This window comes from Homo sapiens, chromosome 3 (genome assembly GCF_000001405.40).
Source record: "Homo sapiens chromosome 3, GRCh38.p14 Primary Assembly".
Classification (NCBI taxonomy): Eukaryota; Metazoa; Chordata; class Mammalia; order Primates; family Hominidae; genus Homo; species Homo sapiens.
Genome location: NC_000003.12, coordinates 80,587,117 through 80,611,240, shown reverse-complemented (window position 1 = coordinate 80,611,240; position 24,124 = coordinate 80,587,117). Strand labels below are relative to the sequence as shown.

Here is a 24,124-nt window from a genome sequence, read left to right as displayed (position 1 = left end):
TATTCTTGGTGTGTGTATGTGTGTTTACTCTATTTTTGAAAGGTCCATTCGATCAAATCAGTTTTATTTGCATAACAGAGTTTCTTTTTGTATTTGATCTTTCATCAACATGGCTTTTTAAATTTCACAGAAGAAACAGAGCTATAGTATTATTTGTTTGAATTTTTAGAGATAAAACAATCCAAATAAGCAAAATATACTGTTTCTCTAGCTATCTAGGGAAGTTTAGTACAGTTTTTCCAAACTAACATCATAAGTGTGACCGTTTATTAATTATTGTAATTTACACATTGAACATTTATATTCTTGAAATTCATAATCCTTCTAAATATCTCAAATAAGTGAGTATGACTGTAATTTTCATTTTACTGGTAGAGAAATTGAGACTCACAAAGAATGTATAATTTTCCAAAGATCACACAGATATTTGGGGGTATAGACTTTACACTCTACTACTATGTGGTTTTGCACTTCCATGGAAGTACAGTATGCCACACTTTGCATAAAACCATATCCACACCCGAGTGCTGGTGGCTCTCTGCTCTTTTAATCAAGTATTTATCTTTTCCAAAATAGAGAGCCTAAGTGGGCAACTTGGTTGCCATGCCACTTGGCTGTCTTGTAGAAGTGTTCTCGGGCAGCATTCTTCACCAAGTTGTACCTGAAGCTGTTGACTCCTCTAAGATCCAGCTCTTGTAGTTTTTGTTGTAACTCTTACAGTGATTTTTGCCCTAATATGTCAACGTTGGGGTTTGTTTTACACAATATATGAAATATAAGCCAAAGATTTTCAGAAAGAGAACAATTCAAGACTACCAAACAAATTCAAAATTTAATAGTGCTCTTAAATAGTAGGTTTCTAGAGGCACTCTATTTGACTAAAAACTGGTTTGCATAGATTATTATTTATTTTTAAATATATCTTGTTTTAAAGTGCCAGCAGAATGAACTAAACAGTAGAAAGAAAGATGGAAGCATTAGGTTTCGGGAATTTGTCCGTAAGCCCAAGTAATATTTTGTGATAAGATTTGCTAAGAATTTTTTACAATCTTTGCTTAAACTAGATCTGTGATTATTGATAGAGAAAAAGTATAGGCAGGAAACAAATATGTAAATATCCAGTTCGAAATCTAAGGTGGTGTTGTAAATCATAGAGTAGAGCTGATCAGAAGAGAAAAAATCAAGAATAAAGAAGTCATAACAATTTTTGAATTATATTGAAAAGTAAAAGTAAAATGATATCTAAATATATCTGGCAAAAGTAATGAATAATCTTAATGAGAACTATAGAGTGACCAGAGTAAAAGACAAAGGGAACTGGGAGGCGTGGGTGTAGCAAGAGCAGCTGCAGAAAACACTTTTTTTTTTTCTTTTTTTTTTTTTTTTGAGACGGAGTCTCGCTCTGTCGCCAGGCTGGAGTGCAGTGATGCGGTCTTGGCTCACTGCAAGCTCCGCCTCCCGAGTTCAGGTGATTTCCCTGCCTCAGCCTCCCAAGTAGCTGGAACTACACAGAAAATAGATGAGAAGAAAAAGAGAGCTGTGTAGTTGAAGAGGATGCAGGATTATCAAGTTCTTATTTATACATTTAAATATTTATTTAATGGTAGGACTTTATCCATAATGTTGAATAGAAAACAATTTGGAGAAGGCTACATACAATATGATAAAATTCATATACATTTTTTAGTGAAAAATGTATCATATGTACATATCTATTTTTAATGGAAAGATAAGCCTCGAATTTATTAACACTGCCCATGAGCATAAGGGGAAGTACACAGTTAGGTCGGGCAGGGGCACAAAGGGGCATCAGCTGTATTTGTAGCCACTTAGTTTAAAACTATGTATATGTATATAGTGATTATATTAAATTTATAAATATATTTTAATTCCTATTATTGTCTGTAATTGTACTGAAAATTTTTGCATTTGGAATATGAAGTAAACAATCGATGTTAGATTTCTGAGTTGTAAATTTCAATGTTATGGCGAAAACCTAGGTATAGCTTTTTACTTTATCATTCATAAATAATATATCTATAACCCTGTACAGAGAGAACCTGAGGACTAGATATCTAGGCAAATATTTTCAACATATACCTGACAAGGCTAGACAATTAATTTTAATAATATGACCTAGAGGCTGGGCGCAGTGGCTCATGCCTGTAATCCCAGAACTTTGGGAGGACGAGCCGGGTGGATCACGAGGTCAGGAGATGGAGGCCATCTTGGCCAACATGGTGAAATCCCATCTCTACTAAAATACAAAATATTAGCCAGGTTTGGTGGCGCATGCCTGTAATCCCAGCTACCTGGGGGGCTGAGGCAGGGGAATCACTTGGACCCAGGAGGCGGAGGTTGCAGTGAGCTGAGATCGTGCCACTGCACTCCAGCCTGGCAGCAGAGCAAGAATCTGTCTAATAATAATAATATGACCTAGAGCAGTTAAATAAAGGAGATAAAATATATAATATTGGGGATTGATTTCTAATTTCTTAGAGTATGCTGAAACCATTCTTTTGTTGAATTGAAAATGATATCTTCAAAAGATCCACTAGCTATCATCAAATGAATTTATCTGAGTAATACCCTAGAAAATAATAATGTAGGTTTTTTAATTGATGCCAAATATAGAAAGTAAAAATTTCATAATGCACACCTCGAATCTGCAACAATGTGATGATCAGAAATATTTGAAACCATAGACAGTTTAAAAATGTGGGCTTGGAGGACAGAAGAGACTTTCTCTTTTCTTTTCCCTTTTTCCCCTCCCTCCCTCCCTTCCTTCCTTCCTTCCTTCCTCCCTTCCTTCCTTCCTCTCTACCTTCTTTCCTTCCTTTCTTCCTTCTTTCCCGCCTTCCTTTCTTCCTTCCTTCCTTCCTCTCTACCTTCTTTCCTTCCTTTCTTCCTTCTTTCCCGCCTTCCTTTCTTCCTTCCTTCCTACCTCTCTACCTTCTTTCCTTCCTTTCTTCCTTCTTTCCCGCCTTCCTTTCTTCCTTCCTTCCTACCTCTCTACCTTCTTTCCTTCCTTTCTCCCTCCCTCCCTGCCTGCCTGCCTCCCTTCCTCCCTCCCTTCCTTCTTTTCTCTTTTCCTCCCTACCTTCTTTCCTCCCTTCCTCCCTTTCTTCCTTCCTCCTTCCCTCCCTTCCCCCTCCTCCCTCCCACTCCCCTTCCTTTCTTTCCTCTCTTTTCCCTTCCCCTCTTTCTCTTCTCTCTTTCTCATTCTTTCCGTTTTTCCTTTCTTCTTTCTTTCATTCATTTGTTCCTTCTTGTTTTCTTGCTTGATGAAATGTTGAAAGTCAGGAGAGAGATAAAAAAATACAATAGATAAATTCTCATTTTAATGAATTAGCCTTATTTGAACTAAGGTAGATTATAATTTTTCTCAAATTGAAATTAAATAACATTTCATTTTTAAATGAATATTAGAATAAGGTGCTCTTTGGTTAGACAGACTGGGTGAAAATCTTGTTTCTGCCACTTTCCAGCTTTGAAATCTTAGAAAGTTTACTTTTCTTCCTAGAGACACAGTTTCCTCCCTGTAATATGAAAGCTATAGCATCAACTTCAAAGGGTTGTTGAAAAACTTGGAATACACACACACACATGCACATACATATATACACACATACATGTATATAAACACACACATATATATACACATACAAATACACACACACATATATATGTATACACATATATACATGTACAAAATACACATATATCTGTGTGTATACATACATGCATATAATAGTGCCTGGCATATAGCAAAACAAATACATAATATTTTTACTATAATGTTTTCTTTTTCAGGCATTTTCCACATATTTCGTCTTTACAATAGCTTTGTAAAGTAGGTAGACTATTGTGCCAATTTGTTTTTCTCCTACATTTTTTGTCTTCCTGCCTCCTCATCTGCATTCTTCTTTCATTCTTGCTTCCATTCTTTCTATCAGCATGAGAAGAGCAAGAAACTATGCTAAGCTTTAGGCCTACAATGATAAATACAATTTTGTAACTGATTTAGAAGGCAAAAATCTAGTAGGAAAGAAAGGCACAGTGTTTGAAAATATTGAGAACAGAGCAGTGTGTTGCTTCATTTTATGGTCCTGTGGCTGGTCAGTGATAAGGGAGACTCAAATGTTCATGAATCATGACTTTCAGAAAGAATTAGTCCCTGTAAACCTCAAATGTAGGTAACCAAAACTTTTTTGGTTTTTTTATTTTGTTTTTTTTCTTGAGCCCCACCACTACCTACCCCCAGTAATTGGAATACTGGTATTACCTATGTGAGCAATATATGGTAAAGAGGTTATGTAATATTAAAAATACCTTTTAATTCCCAACATATTTGAGGAATATTATATTTTAGTAAATTGAAGTTATAATGCTATACTATCCACCTGAGTTTGTAGTGAAGTGTGAGCTGAATTCCATTTGCTTGAAGAGATAACTTATTCTCCTTTTTAAGATTCATCTTTCTGTGCATCTTTTATTCAGTTCAACTGAAGGACAGAATAGAATAAAACGAATAATGAGCTAGTAGCGCATAAGACTAACCCTTTTGAATAATAATAATAAAAAAGTACGTTTGCTCCCTTAGGTTATGTTTCAACAGAAAAGACATGTATTCATATAGTCAAAAAAGGATGTTAAGGGGTCTCTAAACAGCAAAATGAAAGATTCACAGTGAATTATTATTATAGAGGAAAGGAAATGTCTGGTTAACGCATGCAGGAAAGAAGTACAAAACAAAACTAACAGGAAAACTGGGTACTGCAGGCGTGTTACGGATTCAGGAATTATCATAAGAAAAAATGCAGCAATGAATTGAGATATTTGAGAACTTTTAACAGTAGGTCCTAATTCCTAATACCCAGTAGAGATTAATCAAACTATTGAGATGGAAAAGAACAGCAAATGGGCCACAGACAAAAATAGTTAATTCCTTATACAACAACACCCCCAACAGGGATTTGCTTAAACTTCAACCAAATGCAGATATTCTTAGTGTAGTAGATCGGCGGAAAACATGTAAGGCAAGATTTACAATCATCTGTATAAGAATTATTTAATTCTGAAGTCAGAAATATTATATGTTAAGTGTGGCTGTCAGTCTTCTCAGAACTGACATTTCTGTCAGTTTTTATAATGTAGGTTTTTAAGTTGAACATGACCTTCTGTAAAGGTATTCAGAAACTCACCGTCAAACTTTTAATATATCTAATAAACTGGATTATTCTTAATGGTTACTATATTAGTAAAAGTACTAGTACTTTATTGGTCCCAACAATAGGAATACTCTTAATGCTTACTTGTGTCAAAAGAAAGTAACTGACAGACACCTCACTCAAAAGTCTTCAGTGTATATAATTATTAATTCTTATGGAATGATACTATGCAAGATAAATTCCCTTCATGAAGGTCAAATGATCATTTAAAATATTAAAGGAAAGTCCAGGCCTCCCAGTTGTCATTTTACTGCCTGTTGATAACACTCTTTCTGTTAATGTTTCTTTTAGTGGCTATGAATGTGAATAATTTACAAATTATAACTAGGGAGAATATGCAAAAGAACAATAGTGTCTCCCGAAGTTAAATTAGAAAATAGCTGAGTTGATTGTGTAACTCTCCTAAAACAATTAATGCAGTGTTCTATTAAATCGCTTTTCATTTTAGAATGTCTAAAATGGGAAGAAAATTGAAACAGATATGAAATCTTAAGTAACTCAATTTTATGTAAATTTATGTATGAAACAAAAAGCAGAATGGCAATGAAATCTTCTGGGCTTTAATTTGATTTGAGGTCTGATACATATTTTGACCATCTTTCTTTCATGCAAAATACGAAAATACTCCAGATAGAACAAGTCATTGACTGCCTAAAGTACATCAATCAAATTGTTAACTTAGGATGTTTCTCAAGGGTATTGGCTCTTTGGTAGTCGTCAGAAATATAAATGGACAGTGTAGCGCGGGTGTGCTGTGCAATGGAGCAGAGAGGCATGGTATTTGATGTGCCATATTCCTTCATTTCAAACAATTAATTAATGGGCTGCTATATATCCTGTTTCTCAGGGGTCAGAGGTATTGTTAAGAATCCTCAATGTTGCCTGTTTAAATTAAAAAAGATGACAGACAGATGCATCTAGGGTGTTAAGCATAAAGAGAGGACAATGTCCTTGTGTCTCCAGAAAGCTAATGCCAAAGAATGTGAGCATCTAAACCCAAATGACTTAGTTCCCTTTGGTAAATTTTATTTATTAAATTTTAACAACATAAAGGAGAAAAATTAAAAGTAGTTAATTCTAAGAAAATAATTAATTCAATATATTTTGTCTGGAAAGCCATTTCTCTGAATCAGTTTTCTGATTAAACCACTTGTAGTTTAAGAAACAGAATATTTTAAAAATAAATCACATTTCTGACAAGAATGGTCTTGGCAGTCGTAGACTTTTCTCTTTTGCAAACCAAAATACATTGTTACAGTGAAAATTTAAGTGTTTGAACTAACATTTAGATGTTAGGGTATACATATATTTGGTTTATAAGAAAAGAAAATCAATAAGCTTAGGCCAGATAACATGTATTAAACAGGGCTCGGTTCAAAAAGAACTCTAATTTTATTAAATAGAAATATAATCTTAATATTTATGTAGAAAGCAACTTTTGCTTGGGCATATTTTAATCATTTTATTTTTTTTCCTTAACGCTATTATAAATTGAGATTCATTCTTTTCTTTTCTTTTTTCCCCTTTTATACTCAGGATCATTCAAAGATAAGCTACCTGATGAAAAAATAAAGGTTAATGCAATTCAACAACAAAATTAATGCTGCAAACATCTCTCTTCTATTTTAGACATTCTTCTAACTGCTGGAACTAATAAGATATGAATGATGAAGCTTATATTCTTCTAGGAATGATATATACTTCACACAAATATAAATAAAAAGCCTAGATAATTACAAATAAGTTATATGAATGAAGTTGACAGTAACTGAAAGAAGTCCGTTTAAATATGGTTGTCGGAAAGCCTCTACAGAAGGTGCCATCTAAACACAGATCCAAGGGATACCGGTAGACTAGCTGTACTAAGAACCATGGAGAGAGCGTTCTAGAGTGTACATGTTCAGAGGCCGAATAGAATGAATGAGTTAGACACATCTGGGAAACGAAAAAGAAGCCAATGTGAATGGAAAACAAGGACCGTTACTGTAGGCCATGAAAACATTTTCTCTTTCTCTCCCCCTCTCTCTGTTTTTTGTTTGTTTGTTTGTTTGTTTGTTTTGGTTTGGTTTGGTTTTTTTTTTTTTGAGACGGAGTCTCGCTGTGTTGCCCAGGCTGGAGTGCAGTGGCGCGATCTCGGCTCACTGCAAGCTCCGCCTCCCGGGTTCATGCCAGTCTCCTGCCTCAACCTCCCGAGTAGCTGGGACTACAGGCGCCGCCACCACGCCCGGATAATTTTTGTATTTTTAGTAGAGACGGGGTTTCACCATGTTGGCCAGGCTTGTGTGGAACCCTGACTTCAGGTGATCCGTCCGCCTCGGCCTCCCAAAGTGCTGGGACTACAGGCGCCCGCCACCACGCCCGGCTAATTTTTTTGTATTTTTAGTAGAGACGGGGTTTCACCATGTTAGCCAGGATAGTCTCGATCTCCTGACCTTGTGATCCGCCCGCCTCGGCCTCCCAAAGTGCTGGGATTACAGGCGTGAGCCATTGTGCCAAGACTCTTTCTCTCTTTTTTTTTTTTTTTCCTTTCTTCCCTAAGCACAGTGGTAGCCATTAGAGCATCTGAGAAGGGATGTGGGCAAGCCTGGTTTTAATTCTAAAGTTCCCTTCGGTTAATTTGTGACAAACTGGATTGTGAATGTGTTTCCATGTATCGTGGGAAGGAGAATATAGAGGTGGGAGTGAATAGCAAAAATACACATAAGAAGACTCTTTATGAAGTTTTTTGGATTATCTGTAAATATACACTATCACAACACTGAAAATTTATGCTGAAACTTTCATTCCAATCTATTTTATTTTTATTTTTATTTTTTCTTTTTTTTCCACTTCAAATGAATGAGCCTATTGTGAATTCTTTTGAAAGGCTTTGTATTTTTGTCTCTGTGATACTTCGTGGCTTCATATTTGTTTACTTTTACTATTTGGTTGTTTAGTTATATGTATTTTGTTCCACTAAAATGTCCCATTCCGAACAGGTATGCCTTCTGAACAATTAATGCAGTGCACCTAATGTACATCAATCAAATTGCTAACCGATGATGTTTCTCAAGGGTATTTGTTCCTTGGTAGTTGTCAGAAATATAAATGGTATATTTCAGTATATATCACAGTATACATTTTCTCATGTAATCCCCACAATAACTCAGCAAAGTGTGGCTTATTATCACTTCAACAGAAGAGTCAGAAAGTTTAAGCTACTGCATCTGGGTAACTATGCAAAGCCGTAGAGAAGAGTGGAAAAGACACACAATTCAGATTTGAAATATTTTTTTTCAGTTCTTTGCTGTTCACTTTATTACATCAACATACAAATAATAATATATAAATGGATTTGTCTTACAATTGTATTTTCAGGTTATATATTTAGAACCTGCTCATTAATGTTTGTGTTCATGTGAAATAAATTTTGAAACCATAGAATTGTCATTCTATTTGATTAGTGATAAATTTCCATCTCCCTGCCTTCCTCCTTCTCCCTCCTTCCCTCCCTCCCTTGTCCCTTCCCTCCCTCCCTCCCTCCCTCCCTCCCTCCCTTCCTTCCTTCCTTCCTTCCTTCCTCTTATCACAGACCAAATGGCACTTTTACTTGTAGAGAAATTTTAATAAGCAAGGGGATATTTTTTAAATGAGATTCTAGACTTTATATGGATAATCAAGTTTAGAAATTCTTCTCATAATTATTTTTCTTTTTTACTATTAACATTAATATTTTCATACAAATATTCAGTGGGAATTTTTTTTGTATAAAGTTCCATGAATTTCAACACATGTAGAGATTCACGTGACCAGTAGCACAGTCAGGATACAGCAGTTACGCCATTCCATAAACTCCCTCTTTGCTATTCCTTTTCAGTGGCACACTTTCCACGCGTCCTTAATTCTTACAATCACAGACTGATTCTCCCTCACTATAGTTTTGCCTTTTCAGGAATATCATATAAATGGAAACATATAGTATGTGACTTCTTGAGAATGGATTTTTTTCATTCAGCATATGTCTTTGATATCCACCCAAGTTGTATGAATAACTATCCCATTCCTTTTTACTGCTGTTATATTCTATTATATGGATGTACCAAAGTGTGTATCTCCTTTTACCCACTAATGGGCATTTCAGTAGCTTCTAGTTGTTTGCAAATATAAAAAGAAAGTTTTATAAGGATTTGTGTACTGTTTTTTACATGAACAAAAGTTTTTATATTTCTTGAGTGAATACCAAAGAATGAAGTTCCCACATATGTGTGTCTCTTTATAAAATACTGCCTAACATTTTTTTTTTCCAGAGTGGCTGTACTAGTTTTTAGTCCACCAGATTTGCATGAGAGATTGAGTTGCTCTGAAGCCTTGTCAACACTTGGTATTTTCAGCATTTTTCACTTAAACCACTCAGGCAGTTATGTAGCAATATTCTTTTATAGTTTCAACTTACATTTCTGTATTGGCTAATTATGTGCTAATTTATATTTCTCTATTGGCTTTATTCACTTAATATCATTTTCATAGATATTTTTAAATTTTTTATAAAGTTCAGTTTATCATTACACATTTTTCTTCTCATATCTAAACACTATTTGCCTAACCTCAGCTCACAAATATATTTTACTACCTTTTCTTGTAAGTGTTTTATAGTTTGCGGTTTTAAATTAAGGTCTTTGATTCATTTTGAGTTCATTTTATATACAGCTTGTGTTTTTGTGTAGAAATTCATTTTTATTTGGATGTCCAATTGCTCCAGCCTGACTTGTTGAAATCGTCTTTGTACTTTTATCAAAAATTAAATGGCCATATTTGAATGTGTCTACATTTGGATTCTCCACACTTCCACTGATGTATGTGTTTATCCTTTTGCCAATACAGCACTGTCCTCATGTATAGTAAGTCTTAAAATTAGCAACTGTCATTCCTCCAATTTCATTTTATTTTTCAAACTTCCTTTGGCTGTTTTTGTTTCTTCGACTTTCTTTAAGCATTTAAAAACTGGCATATATAAACCTACAAAAAAAATCCTGCATGAAGTTTTATTAAAATTAAGTTAAATCTATAGATCCACTTGGAGAAAATTGATATCTTTACTAATCTGAATCATAAGTTCATGAACTCAGTTTATCTTTACATGTATTTATGTTTTTCTGGATCTTTTCCATCAGTATTTTATAGTATGCATCATACAGATCTTGTAGAAACCTTTTTGACTTACCTAATTATTTCATTTTTGTAGCTATTGAAAATTTGTTTTATGATATGGGTATTCAATTACTTATTGCTAGTTTATATAAATGTATATTTTTTGTTGTATAGGACTTGTGTACTGAAACATTCCTAATCCCACATGTTTGTATGTTGAGTGTTTTGTAGATTTTTTGGGATTTTCAATGTAAATAATCCCATCATCTGTAAATAGGGACAAATTTCCATTTTTAATTTTATTTTAGTTTTTTTGCCTTGTTGTATTATCTAGGACATTCCAGTATGATGCTGATTAGAAATGTTGAGAATGGATACACATGCCTTGTTTCTAATCATGAGTGGGAAGTTGCATTGTCTTTCACCATTCAGTAAAATGTTAGCTGTAATTGTTTTTGTGGTTGCTTTTTGTTTTGTTTTGTTTGGTAGATATCTTTTACTAGGTAGAAGATGTCTTCTCTATTCTTACCATGAAGAGAGTTTTATTATTGAGGTACAATGAATATTATTTTTTCTGCATCAGTTAATATGATACATTGATTTTTTTTAGGCTGTTAATGGTGTATTGCATTGATTTATCTTCATATATGAATCCAACCTTCCATTGGCAGTATAAACCTCACTTGGCCATTACATGTTTGTATGTGTGTGTTTGCATCTGTATATATGTATATGCATATATTTATATATATATGTGTGTATAATATACAACTTTGATTTGTTAACATTTTTCTCATAACTTTTGCATCTATATTCGTGAAAGATAATTGCTTCCAGTTTTCTCTTCCTGTTCTCTTTTTGCCTGGTTTTGATGTCAGGATAAGACTGGCTTCGAAAAATGATTTGGGAAGTGTTCACTTCCCTCTGTTGTCCAAAAGAAATGTGTAAATTTGGCATTATTTTGTCTTCTGAAACTCATGTGAAAGTATTTCTGGGCCTAAAGATTATTTTTAAAGATTTTGAACTAAAAATTAAGTTTATTTAAGAGTTATAGAAATATTCAGATTATCTCTTTTTGTTGGGTGAGTTTTGAAATTTTTTGTTTTCTGAAAAATTGCTTTATTTTTATTTTATTTATTTGTTTTAATTTTTAAGTTATACTTTAAGTTCTGGGGTACTTGTGCAGAATGTGCAGTTTTGTCACATAGGTATACATGTGCTATGGTGGTTTGCTGCACCCATCAACCTGTCACCTACATTAGGTATTTCTCCTAATGCTATCCCTCCCCTAGCCCCCCACCCACCGACAGGCCCCAGTGTGTGGTGTTCCCCTCCCTGTGTCCGTGTGTTCTCCTTGTTCAACTCCCACTATGAGTGAGAACATGTGGTGTTTGTTTTTCTGTTCTTGTGATAGTTTGCTGAGAATGATGATTTCCACCTTCATCCATGTCCCTACAAAGGACATGAACTCATCCTTATTTATGGCTGTATAGTATTCCATGGTGTATGTGTGCCACATTTTCTTTATCCAGTTTATCATTGATGGGCATTTGGGTTAGTTCCAAGTCTTTGCTATTGTAAATAGTACCGCAATAAACATGCATGTGCATGTGTCTTTATAGTAGAATGATTTATAATCCTTTGGGTATATACCCAGTGATGGGATTGCTGGGTCAAATGGCATTTCTAGTTCTAGATCCTTGAGGAATCACCACACTGTCTTCCACAATGGTTGAACTAATTTACATTCCCACCAACAGTGTAAAAGTATTCCTATTTCTCCATATCCTCTCCAGCATCTGTTGTTTCCTGACTTTTTAATGATTGCCAATCTAACTGATGTGAAATGCTATCTCACTAGAGTTTTGATTTGCATTTCTCTAATGACTAGTGATGAAGAGCATTTTTTTATATGTTTGTTGGCTGCATAAATGTCTTCTTTTGAGAAGTGTCTGTTCATATCCTTTGCCCACTTTTCGATGGGGTCGTTTGTTTTTTTTTTCTTGTAAATTTGTTTAAGTTCTTTGTGGATTCTGGATATTAGCCCTTTGTCAGATGGATAGATTGCAAAAATTTTCTCCCATTCTGTAGGTTGTCTGTTCACTCTGATGATAGTTTCTTTTGCTGTGTAGAAGCTTTAGTTTAATTAGATCCCATTTCTCAATCTTGGCTTTTGTTGCCATTGCTTTTGGTGTTTTAGACATGAAGTCTTTGCCCATGCCTATGTTCTGAATGGTGTTGCCCAGGTTTTCTTCTAGGATTTTTATGGTTTTAGGTCTTATGTTTAAGTCTTTAATCCATCTTAAGTTGCTTTTTATGTAAGATTTAAGGAAGGGGTCCAGTTTCAGTATTCTGAATATGGCTAGCCAGTTTTCCCAACACCATTTTTTATATAGGGAATCTTTTCCCCATTGCTTCCTTGTGTCAGGTTTGTCAAATATAAGTTGGTTGTAGATGTGTGGTGTTATTTCTGAGGGCTCTGTTCTGTTCCAGTGGTCTATATATCTGTTTTGGTGCCAGTGTCATGCTGTTTTGGTTACTGTAGCCTTGTAGTATAGTTTGAAGTCAGGTAGTCTGATGCCTCCAGCTTTGTTCTTTTTGCTTAGGATTTTCTTGGCAATGCAGACTCTTCTCTGGTTCCACATGAACTTTAAAGTAGTTTTTTCCAATTCTGTGAAGAAAGTCATTGGTAGCTTGATGGGGATGGCATTGAATCTATAAATTACCTTGGGCAGTATGGCCATTTTCATGATATTTATTCTTCCTATCCATGATCTTGGAATGTGTTTCCATTTGTTGGTGTCCTCTCTTATTTACTTGAGCAGTGGTTTGTAGTTCTCCTTGTAGAGGTCCTTCGCATCCCTTGTAAGTTGTTTTCCTAGGTATTTTATTCTCTTTGAAGCAATTGTGAATGGGAGTTCACTCATGATTTGGCTCTCTGGTTGTCTGTTATTGGTGTATAGGAATGCTTGTGATTTTTGCACATTGATTTTGTATGCTGAGACTTTGCTGAAGTTGCTTATCAGCTTAAGGAGATTTTAGGCTGAGACGATGGGGTTTTCTAAATATACAGTCATGTCATCTGCAAACAGAGATAATTTGATTTCCTCTCTTCCTATTTGAATACCCTTTATTGCTTACTCTTGCCTGATTGCCCTGGCCAGAACTTCCAATACTACGTTGAATAGGAATGGTGAGAGAGAGCATCCTTGTCTTGTGCCAGTTTTCAAAGGGAATGTTTCCAATTTTTGCCCATTCAGTATGATATTGGCTGTGGGTTTGCCATAAATAGCTCTTATGATTTTGAGATACATTCTATCGATACCTAGTTTATTGAGAGTTTTTAGCATGAAGGGGTGTTGAATTTTATCAAAGGCCTTTTCTGCATCTATTGAGATAATCATGTGTTTTTTGTCATAGCTTCTGTTTATCTGATGGATTACGTTTATTGATTTGCTTATGTTGAACCAGGCTTGCATCCCAGGGAGGAAGCCGACTTGATCGTGGTGGATAAACTTTTTGATGTGCTGCTGGAATCGGTTTGCCGGTATTTTATTGAGGATTTTCTCATCGATGTTCATCAGGGGTATTAGCCTGCAATTTTCCTTTTTTGTTGTGTCTCTGCCAGGTTTTGGTATCAGGATGATGCTGGCCTCATAAAATGAGTTGGGGAGAATTCTCTCTTTTTCCATTGTTTGGAATAGTTTCAGAAGGAATGTTACCAGCTCTTCTTTGTACCTCTGGTAGAATTTGGCTGTGAATCCGTCTGATCCTGGACTTGTTTTGGTTGGTAGGCTAATAATTACTGCCTCAATTTCAGAACTTGTTATTGGTCTATTCAGGGATTCGACTTCTTCCTGTTTTAGATTTGGGAGGGTGTATGTGTCCAGGAATTTATCCATTTCTTCTGGGTTTTCTGGTTTATTTGCATAGAGGTATTTATGGTATTCTCTGATGGTAGTTTGTGTTTCTGTGGGATCAGTGTTAATATCCTCTATATCATTTTTTGTTGCATCTATTTGATTATTCTCTCTTTTCTTCTTTATCAGTCTGGTTAACTGTCTATTTTGTTGATCTTTTCAAAAAACGAGCTCCTGGATTCATTGATTTTTTTTAAGGGTTTTTGTGTCTTTATCTCCTGCAATTCTGCTCTGACGTTAGTTATTTCTTGTCTTCTGCTAGCTTTTGAATTTGTTTGCTGTTGCTTCTCTAGTTCTTTTAATTTTGATGTTAGGGTGTCAATTTTAGATCTTTCCTGCTTTCTCTTGTGGGCATTTAGTGCTATAAATTTCCCCCTACGCACTGCTTTAAATGTTTCCCAGAGATTCTGGTACCTTGTGTCTTCATTCTCATTGGTTTCAAAGACCATCTTCATTTCTGCCTTCATTTCGATATTTACCCAGTGGTCATTCAGGAGCAGCTTGTTCAGTTTCCATGTAGTTGTGCGGTTTTGAGTGAGTTTCTTAATCTTGAGTTCTAATTTGATTGCACTGTGGTCTGAGTGACTGTTTGTTATGATTTCCATTATTTTGCATTTGCTGAGGAGTGCTTTACTTCCAATTATGTGTTCAATTTTAGAATAAGTGCAATGTGGTGCTGAGAAGAATGTATATTCTGTTGATTTGGGGTGGAGAGTTCTATGGATGTCTATTAGTTCTGCTTGGTCCAGGGCTGAGTTCAAGTCTTGAATATCCTTGTTAATTTTCTATCTCATTGATCTGCCTAATATTGACAGTGGGGTGTTAGAGTCTCCCACTATTATTGTGTGGGAGTCTAAGTCTCTTTGGAGGTCTCTAAGAAGTTGCTTTATGAATCTAGGTGCTCCTGTAATGGTAAAGGGATCAATGCAGCAAGAAGTGCTTTATTTTTAATAGTTTTTAAAAATTCATTTGGGTAGAAATGTTCATGGTATGTACTTACTAGTCTTTAAATATCTGCAGTGTTCAGGTAGTGATATTCTCTCTTTTATTTCTAATATTGTTAATTATTATCTCATTATTTTGTCCATCTTACTAGCAATTTGCCCATTTTTTGCTACCATTAAGAAATTTTGTTTCATTGATTTTTCTTTGTTTATTTTAAATTTTGTAAATCTCTGCTCTCATGTGTATTGTTTTCTCCTGTGATTTTTTTGGTTTATTTTACTGATGTTATCCTACTCTCTTACTATAAAGCTGATAATATTACTTAAAAAATGTATTCTTCCCTGTTCTAAACTGTATATTTAGATTGCTGTATATATCCAAATCTATACTGCTTTAGCTATATCCCATAAAACTTTATGTATTGTATTTTCATTTTTATCAGATCAAAATATTTAATAATATACATTGAAACTTCCTTATTATTCTATGCATTATTTAGTAGTGTTGATTAATTTTTTAGATAAATGATATTCCTGTTATTATGACATTGATTTCCAGTTTAATTTGAGTACAGTCAGAGAAGATTTTTGGTATGATTTCAATTATTTTAAGTTTATCATAGTTTATTCCATTACATACAATATTGTCTATCTTGGAGAATGTGTATTTGAAAAGAATCTGTATTCTACTCTTGTTGAATGCAGTGTATCATAAATGTAAACTAAGTCCAAGTGGTTGACTTTTTTTATCAATCTTTTCTATTCTTGAATGTTGATTTTTTTGTCTACTAGTTCCACTGATTAAAAGCTCAGTGTTGAAGTCTCCAAATATATTTGCAGACTTATTTACTTCTTTTAATTTTTGCTTTCTGTATTTTAAGATTCTTCTGTTCTATTTACACATAGGGTTTTTTGCCATCTTGAAACATTAACTCTTTTATTATTATTCAATTATGTTCTTTATCTCTTATAATTCACTTTCAGCAATTCATTTAGAAAAGATCTGCTGGCATACAATTCTTACTTTTTTTAAACCTTATTCCTTCATTCAACTTCTTTAATGAAGGATATTTTTGCTGAATGTAGCATTCTGGGTTATAAGTTCTTTTCATTTAGATATGTTAAAACATTAATTTTCAGCTGATTGTAATTTTTCCAGGTCTGTATTTCCTTGGGGTATTTTGTTTAGGGTTTTCTGAGTTTCTTGTAGGTTTATGTGCTTTTTATTTATTTGTCAAATTAGATATTTTCAGCTTACAGATGTTATACATTTCTTTTCTTTTTTTTTTCTTTTCTTTTTTTTTTTGACAGAGTCTCACTCTGTTGCCCAGGCTGGAGTGCAGTGGCGTGATCTCGGCTCACCACAACCTCCACCTCCCAGGTTCAAGCGATTCTCTTGCCTCAGCCTCCCAAGTACCTGGGAGTACAGGTGCATGCCACCACACCCGGTTATTTTTTTAATATTTATTTTTATTAGTATTATTATTATTATTTTGGAGATGGAGTCTCGCTCTGTCGCCCAGGCTGGAGTGCAGTAGTGCAATCTCATCTTACTGCAAGGTCCGCCTCCCTGGTTCACGCCATTCTCCTGCCTCAGCCTCCTGAGTAGCTGGGACTACAGATGCCTGCCACAACGCCTGGCTAATTTTTTGTATTTCTAGTAGAGACGGGGTTTCACCTCGTTAGCCAGGATGGTCTCGATCTCCTGACCTCGTGATCAGCCTGCCTCGGCCTCCCAAAGTGCTAGGATTACAGATGTGAGCCACCGCACCTGGCTAGATGTTATATATTTCTATATATATCACCTAAAGCATATACTTACACATACATATTTGTAATCATATATCTGAAAGTTGGCAGAATAACAGAGGTGATGGGATTTAATTATCATTTTACATTAATTGTCTATTCTTTTAATGGAGAGTTATATTATGATGAATGACAAAATACTTTCTTAATTAATAAAATATTTGTTTCTTCCGTAGTGTGTATATAGTATATATATGATGTTTTTATATTAGAAAAATCCCTAATTATGTTTTTATTAACATGACTTCACATTATGACTTTACATAAATTCCTTTGAAAATAATTCTAAATTACACAGTTTGAGTCATTGTAGTTCTTTCATTTTATAAATTAAATTTGTTTTAGCAAAGCTGCTTTTACAGAAGTAGTAGCAATTTTAGTTACTTTTATGAATGTCACTAAATTTCTTACCATGTGCAATTGTATGTTTTTTCAGCTATCCATAGGAATTACAAATAAAATGCACACGAGTTTACAACGTTTTATTATATTATGTATATGGATGGGTAATATCTACCTATATTCATGATAATTGATAACTTATAACTCTAATTAAAATGTCAAGAATTTCAAAGATACAAATAAGCAAAGTAAGTCATCCACAACTTTATTTCTGAGACCATATATAGTCCTTTTGTTCAGATTGTGTCTATTTTATGAGCTTGTCATGATTAAAAAATGAAATAAGGAATTACAAACGTTATTAAATACAAGAAATATTTCTTCATGCTCTGTACGTTTAATATTTCATACTGTGAAATCCTGTTCAGAACAGAGATAAAGTAAGTCATATTAAATTTGCTGTGAGCTTGACCCTCTCAATCTCTGACATTCTTCATTTTACCAACAAAGAAAAGTGAAGGAGCAGAAAATGTAGCATAACATTGATCATTTTATCACTGTCAACTGCAAACAAAATCATTTACTTAGAATAGATTCTTCAAAAATACTACTTATTATAGTTTTAATCTAGCCTATTAATGTCTAATTGCAACAAAATATTTCCTGATATTAGAGCTATAGATCAGGTGGGGAAAACATGAATTTTTATGTTAATTAGTTTTAAATATTATGCTTGAAATCTTTCCAAACATAATAAAATTCAATTAATTTAATGAATATTATTGGTGTCCAGTTTTCATTTGAATGGTTACTTATAATTCTTACTTTATCCAATGATATAAAATGACCTTACTATTTTATAGCTGATAAGGCATTTTTAAAAGTGGTGAAGGCTACTGTAGAAGATAACATTTCCGCATCAAATGTTCTTATGGCTAAACACTCACTTCAATTTCCAGTTTGATTAAAACTCATTATAATAAGGAACTCTAATCATTAAAACTTTATTTTAATGATTGGAGTAAAAGCATTAAAGATAGTTGTAGGAACTTAAGCATTTTAAAAATATGGGTAATTATGAATAAAATATGGGTAATAAAAAATAATACAATTTCAGTAATTTGTATTATCTAAATTATATTAATAAAATATGGGTAATTTTTGCTCCTTAAAATGTGATATCATTTAATTTAATTTAGATAGCATATATACACTTATAAAATCTTGGGAATAATTTGATCTATGAATACATAAATCAAACAGATTTAAATATATCTATATTTACATTTAATAAGATGCGAACAAAACCTTTCATAAATGAATTTTCTCAGAATATAAAGACCTTGTTCATTTCAATGAGTTTCTGATAAACATAGACTGTATATATTCAGTGTTTCTGTCCCTGCATAATTGCTTGTGTTTCTTCTTAAATAGATGTTTATTGAATATTGATCTATATATTTTTGTGTAGTTTTAAAATATTGGTTCATCATGGCATATACAATCTGCACCTAAAATACATAATTATATAATATGTTATATATTAAATATAGTTAAGCCTATTTTTTGACATATATAAATATACCACAAAAAAACTGTTTTATTTAAACAACAAAAAATAAGGAAACTGTTGTTGACATTATAGGTCCTTTTTTCGTGTTTTATCTTTTCTTAATTCAACACGGATATTTTGTACATATTTATCTATGCCTTCATGAAGAGAGAAACAAGGAAGAGACTCTCCAAGATGTCTGTGGTAGTGGCCCTCACTTTTGAGATTTAAATATTTTGGTTCAATTCCTCAGGCAAGCCTAATGTCTGCCATTACATTGTAAAATGCATTGTACAAAATACATTATACAAAATACAATACAAAATACATTGTAAAAGTTGTTGGTATTAAGAAAAGCAGGGAACAAAAATAAGTGATGGACTCCAAATTTGTCTCAGTGGGAAACAAAGGAAAGAACTTCAAAATGATTTGAAACTCAAGTGAGGATGAGTAAACCAAAACGCTAAAACTGAAGGCAGAGGTCACCTGAAAACATGATCTCTGCTCACTGCAACCCCGCCCTGCCTCATGGATTAAGCGATTCTCATACCTCAGCTTCCCAGGTAGCTGGGATTAAAGGCATGCACCACAATGATGCTACTTTTAAATTGTATTTTTAAATTTCTATTATTTTATTGCTGTTACATTAAAACATACTTGAATTTTATATTTTGATCTTTCATCTTGTGATCTTAAGTTCACTTGCTATGTCTGATAACTTTTTAAAAATTTCTTAAAATTTCAGAATACTCAGTAACGTCTTCTATAAACTAAGTTTTCTCTTTCTTGTTTATATGCTATCACTTTTTTCCCTTCCTTTTTCTTTTTTATTGTATTTTTTTTATGTAGAACTTCAAGAAAATATTGACTTTTAATAGCCAAAGTGGATATTTTGTTTTCTTCCCCGATTTTTAATTAAAACCACTATATTTAATACTAGAAATGGGGTTTTTGTAGATGCCATCTCTCTGATTGAAAAGCGTTTCATTCTAATTTTTTGAGAGTTTTCATTATAATTGGAGGTTACATTTTGTCAAATGATTTTGCTGTGTCTGTTGAGATTATGATACAGTTACTCTGACTTTTAGAAAATTAAACTAGCCTTGCATTCCTATCCTCCTGATAGGCATGTAGCATCCTTTTCATATATGCTTATGTTTCATTTGTTAATATTTTAAAAGATTTTTTCATCTGTGTTAATGGAGAATATTATATTTGCTATTTTCGTAATATATCTTTTTCCTAGTTAGATCAATAAACTAAACCTCTAATTTTTTATGTTGGAAGAATTTTTTTATTAAAATTGAATTTATTATGTATCTATTGGACCATTTGTGTCTCATCAGTCAGTTTTTTAATCTGTATCTATTGAAGAATGCTCGTTTTGTTGATTTTATTGGCATAAAATTTTTTATAATAATTTTTTAATTTTAGATCTATTGATAATTTGGAAGGACTAGCTTTTGATTTCATTAATTTTCTCCATTGTTTGTCCATTTACTGCTTCATTGGTTATGCTTTATTTTAATAATTTTTTTGTACTTATTTGAGATTCATTTGCTTTTCTCACTTACTGTTGCAGGAAGTCAGATCATTGATTTCAGATGTTTCTTCTACTCCAATACATTTATTTTAAGCTCTCATATTAATAACCTTTGAGTATAACTTTAGCACATTTTACAAATTTTTATACACTATAATTTTTTTCATTTATGACAAAGTACTTTTTTTTTGTGAAATAATCTTTGAAACATGAGTTATTTAGTGGTGTGTTGTTCAGTGTCTTCATATGGTGAGAATTTTAAGGTATTGTTCCATATTAATTTTCTAAAATATTTATATTTAGGTAAAGAAATATACCCTGAAAAATTAGATCTTGGTAAATTTATTGAGACCTATGATTTTTGGGACTCATGTATGGTCATTTTCATGAATATTCCACATGCATTTGCATGTGTGTTCTCTTATTACTGAATAAAATAAAGATGACTGTGAAAGTTGAATGAAAAGTTAAATCTTCAGATCTCTTTCACACTCTGGATGAGGAAATATAAACTGGTAAATACCTTTTACCCAACTCTAGCCAGAGACTGAAGATTGAGTTTGGGGAGTGTATGAAAATAGGCTTTCTAGACTGGAGAACATCAAGCACGGTTGATGACTGTGGAAGCAAGATGACATGAAGATAAGTGAGTATAAGCATCTGGGATGCTGAAACATGCAGCCAATTTCATACACTCAAGTTCCAAACCATGAACACAACGGTGTTATTTTTCATACTGGGTACTGAAAAATTCTTCTGTAAGTATACTGATCACCCATCAGGCAAAAACTAGACTATCACCCTACAGAGGAAATCCCATCAACAAACTCCCAACAAACTTTCAGTACTCCAATTTTCAAAATAACAGACAAACAAATGGAAGAACATTACATGCTCATGGGTAGGAAGAATCAATATCGTGAAAAAGGCCATACTGCCCAAGGTAATTTATAGATTCAATACCATCCCCATCAAGCTACCAATGGCTTTCTTCACAGAATTGGAAAAAACTACTTTAAAGTTCATATGGAACTAAAAAAGAGCCCACATCGCCAAGTCAATCCTAAGCCAAAAGAACAAAGCTGGAGGCATCATGCTACCTGACTTAAAACTATACTACAAGGCTACAGTAACCAAAACAGCATGGTACTGGTACCAAAACAGAGATATAGACCAGTGGAACAGAACAGAGCCCTCAGAAATAACGCTGCATATCTACAACCATCTGATCTTTGACAAACTTGACAAAAACAAGAAGCAGGGAAATGATTACCTATTTAATAAATGGTGCTGGGAAAACTGGCTAGCCATATGTAGAAAGCTGAAACTGGATCCCTTCCTTACACCTTATACAAAAATTAATTCAAGATGGATTAAAGACTTAAGTGTTAGACCTAAAACCATAAAAACCCTAAAAGAAAACCTAGGCAATACCATTCAGGACATATGCATGGGCAGGGACTTCATGTCTAAAACACCAAAAGCAATGGCAACAAAAGCCAAAATTGACAAATGGGATCTAACTAAACTAAAGAGCTTCTGCACAGCAAAAGAAACTACCATCAGAGTGAACAGGCAACCTACAGAATGGGAGAAAATTTTTGCAAGCTACTCATCTGACAAAGGGCTAATATCCAGAATCTACAATGAACTCCAACAAATTTACAACAAAAAACAAACAACCCCATCAAAAAGTGGGTGAAGGATGTGAACAGACACTTCTCAAAAGAAGACATTTATGCAGCCAAAAGACACATGAAAAAATGCTCATCATCACTGGCCATCAGAGAAATGCAAATCAAAACCACAATGAGACACCATCTCACACCAGTTAGAATGGTGATCATTAAAAAGTCAGGAAACAACAGGTGCTGGAGAGGATGTGGAGAAATAGGAACACTCTTACACTGTTGGTGGGACTGTAAACTAGTTCAACCATTGTGGAAGTCAGTGTGGTGATTCCTCAGGGATCTAGAACTAGAAATACCATTTGACCCAGCAATCCCATTACTGGTTATATACCCAAAGGATTATAAATCATGCTGCTATAAAGACACATGCACACATATGTTTATTGTGGCACTATTCACAATAACAAAGACTTGGAACCAACCCAAATGTCCAACAATGATAGACTGGATTAAGAAAATGTGGCACATATACACCATGGAATACTATGCAGCTATAAAAAATGATGAGTTCATGTCCTTTGTAGGGACATGGATGAAGCTGGAAACCATCATTCTCAGCAAACTATCACAAGGACAAAAAAACAGACACTGCATGTTCTCACTTATAGGTGGGAATTGAACAATGAGAACACATGGACACAGGAAGGGGAACATCACACACTGGGGCCTGTTGTTGGGTGGGGGGACGGGGGAGGGATAGCATTAGGAGAGATACCTAATGTAAATGACGAGTTAATGGGTGCAGCACACCAACATGGCATATATATACACATATGTAACTAACCTGCACCTTGTGCACATGTACCCTAAAACTTAAAGTATAATAAACAAAAATAACAGACACAATTCATTACCTGTCTTAATACATCTTTGACATGAATGGAACAGATGGATTAAAAATAGCAACTTCAAGGCAACAGGAACCTCTACAGATGAAGTAAAACCCCAAAAATGAAGAAATTCTTTATAATATTCTTGAAGAAATGAGGAACTATATCCTAAAAACAAGACAAAGATAGCATTATAATATGCAGAGAAAGGAAAAGAACTCTTAGAAATAAACATATATATACACAGAGGCAGATATGAACAACTGAAAGTAATGTTTGAAATGTAAATTTGGAAAAATCTCCCAAAAAGTTTCCAAAGAGAAAAAAAAACACAAATATAAAACATTAGCCAATCATGTAACTTTCAAAGCTGTATGATATCTGAATAATAAGGTATAGGCATGCCCTACTTCATGCACTACTTCATGGAATATTCCATGCTATATAATAATGATAACAAAAAGAGACAGGCGTCTATTAAAACTGAAATGACCAATGGCTCATTATTTGGTTTTTATATAAATTCTTACTTTTTTCAAATTATAAAAAAGAATTAACTAGAGTGTGGTGAGATAGTTTTTATTTCTTAAGTGAAAATAATTTATTTAATATATAAGTTGCATATATAAATTTGAATTGTATCTTTAATTATATATGCATGTTTTTGTTATAAAAGTGATAATTTTGTTAAATATATATGTAACATTTATAGTCTTATTTTGTTTTGTATGCAGCAAAGATCCATTTAGAACTTATAATATGCCAGGCATGGTGTTAGAATTTTAATTTGAACACGTAATTTGAACACAAAATTTAAGACATATTCCCTGCAAGGTAGGTATTCTTTTAATGTTCCTATCTAATTGATATGGGAAGTGAAACAGAGAGAGGTTGTGTCACTTGCTGTGACCACCAAACAAGAAAATGGTGAATTCAGATTCAACACCAGGCAATCAGACGTCAGAACTCATGCTTTTGGTCACAAAGATATTCTGCGAAAAAAATAGCTCTAGGAAAAACAGCTCTATCCGTAACTGATTCTGTGGTTTGCTTTTTTTTTTTGCAAAATCAATTTACAATGGCTATATCCTTATTACGTTCTTTCTTGAGGTGTTATTTTTTAAAACGGGAAGAA

The 24,124-nt window shown here is 33.6% G+C and overlaps 1 long non-coding RNA gene across 6 annotated transcripts in view, besides 1 other annotated feature; it reads left to right on the top strand.

The window, feature by feature from the left end:
- LOC105377177 (uncharacterized) overlaps window positions 1–24,124 on the top strand; it is a 250,124-nt gene that overhangs the window by 159,108 nt on the left and 66,892 nt on the right. For 3 of the 6 annotated variants that reach the window (XR_940991.4, XR_001740791.3, XR_001740790.3), the window contains exon 4: window positions 6,768–8,651. The exons of 2 other annotated variants lie outside the window; for them this stretch is intronic. This is a non-coding gene — a long non-coding RNA (uncharacterized LOC105377177). Of the gene's footprint in view, window positions 1–6,767; window positions 8,652–24,124 lie in introns of those variants that run through there. One more of the 6 variants, XR_001740792.2, reaches the window with a different exon arrangement.
- Window positions 1,268–1,477: a silencer, noted in NCBI's record as "fragment chr3:80658915-80659124 (GRCh37/hg19 assembly coordinates)". NCBI's record gives its function as "represses an EF-1alpha promoter that drives an FKBP-Casp9 reporter gene in an ReSE screen in HepG2 liver carcinoma cells and K562 erythroleukemia cells {active_cell/tissue: HepG2 | K562}" and the evidence as "EXISTENCE:reporter gene assay evidence [ECO:0000049][PMID:32094911]".